Raw genomic sequence first — 10,778 nt, 5'->3', positions numbered from 1 at the left:
GCTACTTGGGAGGCTGATGCAGGAGAATTACTTGAACCCAGGAGGCAGAGGTTGCAGTGAGCCAAGATTGAGCTCCTGTATTCCAGCCTGGCAACAGAGCAAGACTCTGTCTCAAAATATATATATATATGCAAATACCAAAACATGTCTCATAATCAATATGGCTTAAAAATTTTGTACCTGATCAAATCTGCAGATACCAGAATGTACATCAAATATGTCTGTCTATGGCCCAATCTTTGTCATTTTGTAAAACTTATCAAACAACAACTTGAGTGTGGACTCAGCAACTTCCTAGGCACTTTCCCTCCCATCTGGGAATGGTTCCTGCTTATGCTGAGGACTTCAGTTTTCACTTCGGGCTTTGACATTTGTACAGGCTATTCTTTTTCCTTAGTGAAGTTCAAACCTGTATGGGTAGAGGCAGAAAGAAATGTCAAAGTGTGATCACCTACATGGCAGGTAGGACCTCTTTGCTTTTGAGTGATTTCTGTTTTCTGATTATTGGGACCAGACTTCACCCAATGGTGGGATACCTTCCCTTAGAAAGTTGTAGGCCGGGTGCAGTGGCTCACACCTGTAATCCCAGCACTTTGGGAGGCCGAGGTGGGCAGATCACCTGAGGTCGGAAGTTCGAGACCAGCCTGACTAACATGGAGAAACCCTGTCTCTACTAAAAATACAAAATTAGCCAGGCGTGGTGGCACATGCCTGTAATCCCAGTTACTCGGGAGGCTGAGGCCGGAGAATCACTTGAACCTAGGAGGCAGAGGTTGCGGTGAGCTGAGATCGCACCATTGCACTCCAGCCTGGGCAATAAGGGCGAAACTCCATCTCAAAAAAAATAAAAATAAAAATAAAGTTGTAAAGTTGGGATGGGCCATGAATGCAGTAGATGAGAGATGGAAGCAGGGGTGACTTCCCTCCTTTCTTTAGTGCGTGTGTTGGATTATTAGGTAAAAGCAAATGGTGCCAGGGATGCTGCCCCCGGATGGACCTGGGCAGCAAATTGAACCACGGTCCAGAAGCCCTGATCTGCCTCAAGTCTCCCTGTCTCCTCAGTTCAAACCTAGGGTGCACTATTGCTCACTGAGGAGTATGTGGAAGGTCCCAGGATGGTGCCCCTTACCTTCAGAAAACTGTGTACTCCCTCCTCTTATCTAAACCTCCGGCAGAAGTAGCACATGAACAGTGGATTTTCAGGCAGGAAGGGGGACGTGAGAGGCCTTGGCAATGTGCCAGTACCTGGAAAGCACTCAAGGCCGTCTTCCATTCTTCGTAGAGTCAGCGGCTTCTGGCTGCATGAAGATGCTGTCACTGCTGGTGGCATGATCCATGTTGATGTCACTGATGAGACCCAGATTCTCAGCCCAGACCCCAACCCAGCACCTGTGACACTGCCTGGGGCTGGCACTGTTGTCCCTGCATGAGAATCGGTCCCTCCTAGCTACCGTGTTCTTGCATTTTCGGCTCTCTGTGCCTCGGCCGTTGAACACAGACAAGTGAGGTAATTGGGATCCCTGGTTTCATTTGTTTATACCCTGCCTACTTCAAGATGGAAGGACGCCACTCATAATAGAAGCACAGATGCAGTAAGAACGAGGTTTGGTAATGCAGACGAAGGGCCAAAAGCCAACAGTATGATGGGGAGGGATTTCTCTTTATGGACAGAGATAAGTACATCAGAGCTGGAAGGAACGCAGTCCCCCAGCACACAGAGAGTTTTCTCTGTTCTTTTTTCCCCTCCTGTCTTCACCTCTTCTCTGCTTTCGTTGCCTTTCCCTTTTTAAAAATTTCAGACCACACATGTTATAGTTAGAAGGAGTTCAGAGATGGTTTTGTCTGACTCCCCCATTTAACAAATGAGGTATCTGAGGCCTGGAAGAGGTATCCAGCTGCCCCAGCATTCTTGGGCGAGAGCTCAGGTCTCCTGAGGGGCCATCCTGAACCTATGGAGAGAGGGCTTTAGGCTGCTTGACCAGTAGCTCTCTAGCTGCCCTGTATTTTCAGCTGAGCAGCCCATAGGGACCGAGATGGCATGAGGCTCTGACCCTGGAGCCCTGCCCATGGAGCACCCTGGAGCCGCAGGGACTGTCAGAGCTTGGGGGCCTCCAGGCTCGTGCGGGGCTCCTCTCTCTGGCCCCATCCAGCCAGTCTGCATTTGCTGTTCCCGCTGCCACCCTGGTGGCTTTTTTCATAGGCCCCACAGCTATTTTTCTGGCCTCCATGGTCCTCAGAGGCGAATGGCAGCTCTCTGTGCCACTGCCACTGCCAGACCCAAGGTGTTGTTCTTCCTGTAGCCCACCCATAGTCAGCCATCTCCCCCCAGGCCCCTCCCAGGCCAGGGGCTGAAGCCTGCTGGGTACAGACAGGTTGGGGTGAGCTACACACCCCATCAGCAACTGTCTCGGAATGAACCTTACCTTCCGTCACCCCGGCTGTGCTTCCAAGACCATTAGTCCCACGCGTCTCCCTTCTCCTGAGCCTTTCTCTGGGGCTCTGTGTGCCGCGGGCCTGAGTAGGAAAGTCACGGCCCCTTCCCAGCTGTGTGACCCGGGGCTGGTTTCCGTGGCTCTGTGTGTCTGTCCTCTCATCTGTAAAGTGGGGCGATCACAGTACCGCCTCATGGGTTGTCCTGAGGATTAAATGGGTGAGTTGATCTGGAGCACTCTCAGCAGTGTCTGGCAGCGGCAGTCACGACACATTCGCTAGGATCTCTGTGTTCAAATGGTGTGTGTGGGGGTGTGTCTTGGAGGAGACTGTCAGTAAGTGGGTTTGTTACAGGAAGACATCTAGCCTCTGTTTGCGTCAGTTTCCTCATCTGTAAACTGAGAATAAAAATTCTGCCCTCCCCACGGTGTTATTACATGTTTCTTCACGTGAAGCCTACAGAACAGCCCTTAGCATGTAGGGTTTAATAAATGTTTGCTGTCATTGTTTTGCTTGTAATTCATTAATTACTCAGTTATCGTTAGAAAGCTGATCTCGTGTGCATGAGGCTTTCTTGCTCATAGGGAATCCATGGATGCAGATACATTTATAAGGTGGAGTTATAGTTAAAGCTTTGCGTCTAAGACCTAAATACAAAAGGATATTTTGTTGAAGGAGTGAAAGTTTAACTCCAGGGCAGAATCCAAGCCCTAGACTCTTGCCCAAATTCATTCGGAAAAGTGTGGATTTAAAACATTTGTTATTCTGGGCTGGGCATGGTGGTGCATATGCCTGTGATCCCAGCGCTTTGGGAGGCCGAGGTGGGAGGATTGCTTGAGCCCGGGAGGTCCAGGCTTCAGGCAGCTGTGAGCACGCCAGATCCACAGAGCGAGACCTTGTCTCTAAAAACAAAAAACAAAACCCCCAACATTTTTTATTTGGATACAGTACTGTATTAGTTTCAGTATTGTATTCAATATTGCTATCGTATCAAGTTACCACACATTTAGTGGGTTAAAACAAGACGAATTTGCTCTCTTACGGTTCTGGAGGACAAAAGTCTGAAATCAAGGTGTGGGCAGGGCTGGTTCCCTCTAGAGGCTCCCAAAGAGAACCCGTTCCCTTGTCGTGTCCAGCTTCTAGAGATGCCTGCACCCCTTGGCTCTCAGCCCCTTCCTCACCTCACCCTGACCCCGCTTTGTCCTTGCCGCTCCTTCTCTGATTTTCTCCCTCCTGCCTTCTTCTCGTAAGGACCTTGTGGTAACCTCTGGGGTTCCCTGGATCATCCGGGATCATCTCCCCATCTCCAGACCCTTCACTCCATCCCATGTGTGAAGTTCCTTTTGTCATAGAAGGTGACATGCATGGGTTCTGAAGATTAGAACATGGGCATCCTTGGGTGGGGAGGGCATTATTCAGCCTCCACAGACACTGAGGGTGCACCTTGACGATGTCTCTTCCAGATTGTCCCTGAAAACATAAATATTTCTGCAATGGGTAAAACTCTTCTGTTCCTTGGTCAGTGTAAGATTTTCATTCTGGTTTGCTCAGGAGAGTTCTAAATCATGCCTGTTGTCCTGGCATAATTGCCTTATTTATTTAATTCATTAAAAAATAAAAACCGTATATTATTATGGTGTACAACATGACATTTTGATATATGTGTACATTGTAGAATGGCTAAACCAACTTAATTAACGTATGCATTACTTTACCTATCACTTGTTTGTGATGAGAACACTTGAAATCTATTCTCTCACAATTTTCAAGAATATACTATGTGTTACTATACACTAGAGTCACCATGATGTACAATAGATCTCTTGAGCTCTGGTATAATGATCTTAAAAGGTATCATGATTGTAATTCATAATAATTAAAAATGATCAAAAGCATCCTCCCCCTTTCCCTTTCAAAAGTGTTCCAGGTCTGGGCAACAACTAGAGGGTCATGAATATTCAAAGTGGGGAAACTAAGAGGCCCTCCTTCTGCAGGGCTTGGTGGGAGAGCCCCCGCGGCGGGAAGGGATGAAAGTGTGCAGAAGCTCTCCGATGGCTGAAGCCTCTGCAGACGTTCTCTCTGTAATGTTAAGTCGCTCTACCGGGTCATCCCTTGGGCCCTGGACCCTCAGCCTCACCCACAGCAGCTGGTACACCTCAGACTTCCATGCTGGAGGATGTTCCAGAAAAGGGTCCTGCTGCTCATACAAAGCCAGCCGAGTGGAAACCTGGGAGCCCTTTCGCCGGCCGCCTTTCTATCGCGCTGTCCTAGAAAAGACATAGAAAGACTTGCCTTGAGCAAGTCCCTAAACTCCCCTTTAAAATGGGGGCAAATGATGAGTATTTGGCAGAGCTTTGGTGAATACTAGAAAAAGTATGAGTAAAAAGCTAACAAAGTGGACATATGTAGGTGCTAAAAAATAGGTTGTTATTGAGATGTGAGATTTTGGGGAGTCAAGGGGATCGGTAACTTATTATCCTAATGCTGTTCTTATGCTGTTGAGGGAAAGAAAATATAATTTCAGAGACTGAATGAATAGTGTGACAACTTTTGTGCTTCAGGTGCACAAAAAGGAACTAACTTCTGGGCCTCTTCGCTGGGGCCCTTGGGGATAGATCCTAAAGTCAGATTCCCCTGTAGTGTTTCAGGAGACCCAAGATGCAGGTGTGCTTTCCTGGACTGAGAGAAAACCAAGGGAAACAATGGCTCGGTCTTGGGATTCTCTGCTGTCTCTGCTCCACTCTCCCCAGCTGCTGGGTGGGTCCAGCCTGCCTGGAGTTGCTCTCATGACCTCTTTCCGCTCTTCCCCTGCACACAAGGATGGCACAGGCTTCCGCAGAGCCCTGGGTGTTAGCCCTTGCCATGTGTGCCTTTGCCCTCGAGTTGGGTCCATTCCCAGTGAGGCCCCACGAGAGAAACTCTCATTCCATCAATCTGCCAGTCAGGCACACGCAGGGGCTGGTTTTGTTTGCCCAAGGCTGGATTGCAGTCACACAGTTGTTGAGACCAGTGTTCCTCTCTGGATACACTTTTCTTGTCAGAGAGCACCTTTATTAACTTTCAAAGCAGAGTTACCATTTCCCAAGATGAATTCAGTCCAGACAGAGTATCACGGGAAACAGTAACTGTCTGGGCTCTCCTTTTCGAGGGCAGGGGAGGGGAGAGCTGGGGCAGCTTTCGGGATTACAGAGACCGAGAATTGGTTCATTTTATGGCAAGTGTGGAATGGAGATCATACCCCCTTAAATATTTGAGGGCATGGCTGGCGCACATTGCCTTCAAGGCTGCTAGATCTAAGATATTGGATTCTATACCAGCTTGCTCTGCTCTCAGAGATGTCAGCCGACCACGGAGATAGGCCGTGGGGAAGTCTGCACAGTTGGCCTCCACCAAAGCCTCCTCTCCCTGCTCATGCACCCCACTCCTTACATCAAGAGGAATAGTCTGATTCCCCTCCCCTTGCTTCCAGCCTGGCCTTAGCAATGTGCTTGGCTGATGGAAAGTAGTGGCATTAATACATTCTGGGACTTCAAGGCCGTGGCATAGCACTGCCTAGATTCACTGGAATGCTTGCTCTTGGGAGCTCTGTCTCAGAACCCAGAGGCCTACTGGTGCAGGGTATCTGGTCAGCAGCCCCAGCTGAGCTCCCAGCCAAGCATGTGAATGAGCCAGCCCAGCTCTATGGAGACTTGAGATGGCTGAAGCCCGAGCTGACCTGTGTCTGCCTCCACATGAGAGATCCCAACAGAGAAATGCCTGGGTGAGCCCAGTCCATGCACAAAGCCACGAGAGACACACAAGCTGCCCCCTGGGTTGTTATGCAGCAGCAGATGGCGAGAATGAACAGTGATGGGGCAGGCAGGTGCTGTTGTCTGGCTATTTGTCTGCAAGTTTACAGAATGGACCCCAGCTCTACCGCACTGGTGGTTCCATTTCCAGACATGACACAGTCCAGAGGGGTGGGCCTCCTGACTCAGTGGTCTCAGACAACTTGAGAAACCTCCAGGTGTCTGAAACCACAGGCTTAATTTTGGAAGGGCTGACTTGGCCTCTTAGCTACCTCCGTCCCGTCGGCTGTTTTGATTCATTAGGCTTTTCCGAGCTCTAGTAATGAAGGATTGCCAGGTAGCACTTGGTTCAGGGGAAGGAGATTTGCAACCTGATGGCCAAAAATAGTAAGTAGAGACCTGGCTCAAGAAGGCTGGGAGGCTTTAGAAAATGATATGCTGACAATACAATCTTTTTCCTGTATTTTTTTTTCAGCTTTACCCGAGATGCCTTACCTATTAGTAGATACTCTATAAATATCACTTAGAGTAATTAAGTAATAGAGATTGCAAACATTTAAACAGTGTAATGATAGCCTCTGCATGCATAATATTTGCACACAGTATCCACAGCATTTCAGGGGAGAAAACAAATTAATCTGTTGGCTTTAAGCATTTAACAAATCACATAATACGTATGTGGATTAGTTGACTCCATTAATGCTTGAGTTGAAAACCTCAGCTCCCACCTCTTTAAATGCTTACAATTGAAAGCTGCATATAACTTGAAAGGGAAATTGACCCTGTAGTCACTGAAGTAAATCTTGAAAGGTAAATCATTCAAGACATGGCAGCTGCGTGTTAAGGAAAAGAACAGAAAAAGAACAGAAGAGTATGTAAAATTATGTAGGGCTCATCAGGAAGGGAATGTTCTCGTTTGCTGTGAGCTGGCCCCATGGAAGGGAGTGACAGCTGTCAGTCACATCCACCCGGCCACAGGAGAGGGACATTCACAGGAGGTGAGCTCAGCTCCCTTCTGTTAGGGTCCGAAGCTCCCTGTTATGTGGGGTGGGTCCCGTTACTCACTCCAGCTGCTTCAGAATATGGGATGTGGCTCCTGGTTTCTCCTTTTTTTCCTGGGGCCAGAATGTGGGGCCTTCTGACTGAGGCCCATCTGCCTTCCCTCCACACTAAGGGCCTTGTTGGCATTAACTGGGATCATATGACTGTCCAGTGAGTTCTGACAATGGACTCTTGTTCTGGGTGCCATACTAGTAGGCAATCTAAATTTGTGATTCGAGCTTGAAGAATGCACTGGGAATTCAGGATGGTAAGCCAGACTTGTGGGAGATCATGTCTTCATAAAGCAAAGCTGTCCAGATGAAAGCGTCATGGCAAGGGGGCTTGCTCTCTGTGCCCAACCTCTGTGATTTCACTGCTCCCGCACACAGCAGGAAGCCCGAGCCATCCCTCTGCCTTGGGCTCTCCTTGGAGGAGTTCACCCATTCACAGTCTTAAAGGGACAGAGAACTTCTCAGAGCTTGGGTTTTACTCTTGGCTTGGGCACTACGTTGACTATAAGATCTCGGGACAATCTCAAAAGTTTTCTGATCTCAGTTTCGTCAGTTGGAAAATAAGTTCTTACTAGATAATTTCTAGCTTCTTCCAACCCTGATATCCTTTTTTTGTTTGGTTTTGCTTTGTTTTTTAGATTGTGAGAACATCTATTAAAATGTAATTAATTGGTAATATAAGCTGCAGGTTTATTTATCTTTATTAAGGCATAATTGACTAATACAAATTATATATATTTACAGTGTACAATGTGATGTTTTGAGATATGCATATATTGTGAAAGGATTAAGTCAAGCCAATTAATATATCCATCACCTCACATATTTACCAATTTTTTTGCTGGTGGGAACTTTTAGGATCTACTCTCTTCTTAACATTTCATAAAAAAGTGGTAAGCCGGTGAGGTGATGGGTTAATTATCTTGTTTTAATCTTTCTACAATGTATATGTAGATCAAACATCACATTGTTATACCCCCATAAATATACACATTTATTATTTGTCTCTTAAAAACAAATAAATTTGTCATTAAAGATCTACTCTCAGCAATTTTCGAGTATATGATACAGTATTATTAACTATAGTTGCCTTGCTGTATAATAGATCCCCAGAATTTATTCACCGTATGTAACTGCAAGTGTGTACCCTTTGACAACATCCCCTAGACCCAATCCCCCAGCCCCTGGAAAACATCCTACTGTCTGCTTCCATGAGTTCAACATTTTTAGATTCCACATATAAGTTTCTCTGGCCATGGCCAGAGAAAATGCTCTGATATTTTATGCTTCTATCAGCATTTCCCGTTTCGTCCATCCTCTCATTTGCTTTTCCTTTTGTTTAGCTTGGTGAGTTTAGGAGGGATATCATCCCCCTCGCCTTTTCATCTATCCCTTCTGCTTCTTTCTTCAGACAACATTCATCGTTCCTCCCTATCCCTGTGGGTCAGATTATTCCCTTGTAAGGTTTTTCCTTATGTTTTCTTGAGCTTCTCCTTCCTTCTTCATGAACCAGTCCCCAAGCAAAAGGAACTAAGTTTTGACCCTTTCCTAATCCCAAGAGATTGCACCATGTACTCTAATGCTCTCTGAACACATTGCTCTTCATCCTTTGTTTTGGAAAATTAGCTTAGGTTTTATTAAGTGCTTAAGAGCTCACGATGTGCATATCTGCATGTCAAACCTTAATAAGGTTTCTGAGAAAGCTGAGAGTATTTGTCTTTTTTGCCCCAGGCACTGTTGAAAAATTTAGTAAGAGTGAACTCTAAAAAGTGCAATATTCTTCCACCTGTTTTGCCAAAAATTTAATTTACAAAACTTTGGTCTTACTAAGCAAAATGTATCGAGCTTACCTGAACACAGTTAGAGTTCTCAAAATAGGAGGGTGGCTAAGCAAAGTAAATAGTGTAACAAGCCTCAGTGTGATTTCACAACAGGTTTTTCTTCATCTTATGGTGAATTCCAGAGACTCAGTTTTCTTCAAGTCATTCTGTCTCAGTCAAACAGGGAAAATAAATGCAGTTGAATGAATGCAGCTCCAGCCTCATTTTAAACTATTCATTTGTTTCCATTTCTTCCACCCCAAAAGTCTCAGCATTTCTAGCGAGTAGGCAAAGTGAGAGATGCCAGTTTCACTTTTTCTTTGTTCTTGTCTCTTCCTTGCTGATAAGCAAGGACCTGTGATAACAGGAGCCCTCAAGGGGAAGAAAATGATAATCCCGTTGTCTGGAGAATGAGAGGGACTTAATGGTAGTAAATGCTCAAAGCGACCTTGTGACTATATACTGCTCAGGTCACCATAAGTTTGGTGGCTGTGCATGAGGAATGTGTGTTCAATGATGAAAACGAAAATGGAAGTTTTCCTGGAGTCTGTGGCAGGGGCTGGTTGTTGTCTGCATTGTACTCATTCCCACGCTGTTGCTAACACAACTCCAGTCATTCTGGAAGAAGATAAGCCCAGATACTTACTTTTCTAGCTTCCCTTATAAGTAGGGATGACACATTTGTCACAGCGACAGATACGTCATGGTTCAAGCCAATTACACATAAGCATAAATCTACTGGATCTCAGAATGCTGCCTCTCTCCCAGTAGAGGGACAGATATGGCTGGTGTGGTCTTTTCTTCTTCTTTCTGCCTTGAATGTGAATGTATTGATCAGAGCTGCAGCAACCTGGCATTATTAAGCTGCTGAACCAACACTAGCAATTGCTTAGATCAAAACTTCTTACTTACATTGTTGAAAAATAAGCCTTCTTTTTAAGCCACTGTAGTTGAGTTTTTTTTTTTTTTTTTTTTTTTTTTCTTTTTTTTTTTTGAGACAGAGTCTCGCTCTGTCGCCCAGGCTGGAGTGCAGTGGCGGGATCTCGGCTCACTGCAAGCTCCGCCTCCCGGGTTCACGCCATTCTCCTGCCTCAGCCTCCCAAGTAGCTGGGACTACAGGCGCCCGCCACTACGCCCGGCTAATTTTTTGTATTTTTAGTAGAGACGGGGTTTCACCGTTTTAGCCGGGATGGTCTCGATCTCCTGACCTCGTGATCCGCCCGCCTCGGCCTCCCAAAGTGTGTAGTTGAGTTTTTTGTCACTTGGAGCCAAGAGCTTTCCTAACTGATGGATTCTCTCCCACATATTTTATTATAAATTAATAAATTCCCACCCTCTGTTCTTCCTCCTGTTGTAGACACAAACATGCTTCTATTCATTTGTTGTGAACACCATTTCTGGAGATCTGTGTGTCTGTCAAGGCTCCACCCAAATATACATGGATTAGAACATGTTTAGAGAAGAGGGTGATTATCTGTGTGGGAAAAGGTTCATCAGGGATGAATCGCATGTTCCCACGGTGAGAAGGCTGGGAGCACTTGCCTCTCCGCTCATGCCAGCCCTTCTTCTCCTTCCTGCTCACTGCCTACTACTTTGGAAATTAGGTTCACCCATATAATCGTCATAGTTTGACATGGTTGGACTTGAAAATCTTGGCTTTTTCCTTGTCCCAGACAAGAATCAATCAT

The 10,778-nt window shown here is 46.2% G+C and overlaps 1 long non-coding RNA gene across 1 annotated transcript; it reads right to left on the bottom strand.

The window, feature by feature from the left end:
* Nucleotides 1-358: 358 nt before the first annotated feature.
* LOC124901237 (uncharacterized) lies at nucleotides 359-2,458 on the bottom strand. The gene is made up of 3 exons (XR_007059394.1): nucleotides 2,424-2,458; nucleotides 1,246-1,320; nucleotides 359-409 (listed from the first exon to the last, which is right to left on the bottom strand). It is a non-coding gene; the product is annotated as an uncharacterized LOC124901237 (long non-coding RNA).
* Between the last annotated feature and the right edge of the window lie 8,320 nt (nucleotides 2,459-10,778).

This window comes from Homo sapiens, chromosome 6, assembly GCF_000001405.40.
Source record: "Homo sapiens chromosome 6, GRCh38.p14 Primary Assembly".
Classification (NCBI taxonomy): domain Eukaryota; kingdom Metazoa; phylum Chordata; class Mammalia; order Primates; family Hominidae; genus Homo; species Homo sapiens.
Note: the sequence above shows the minus strand (reverse complement) of the source record. Positions and strands in the feature narration are given on the sequence as shown.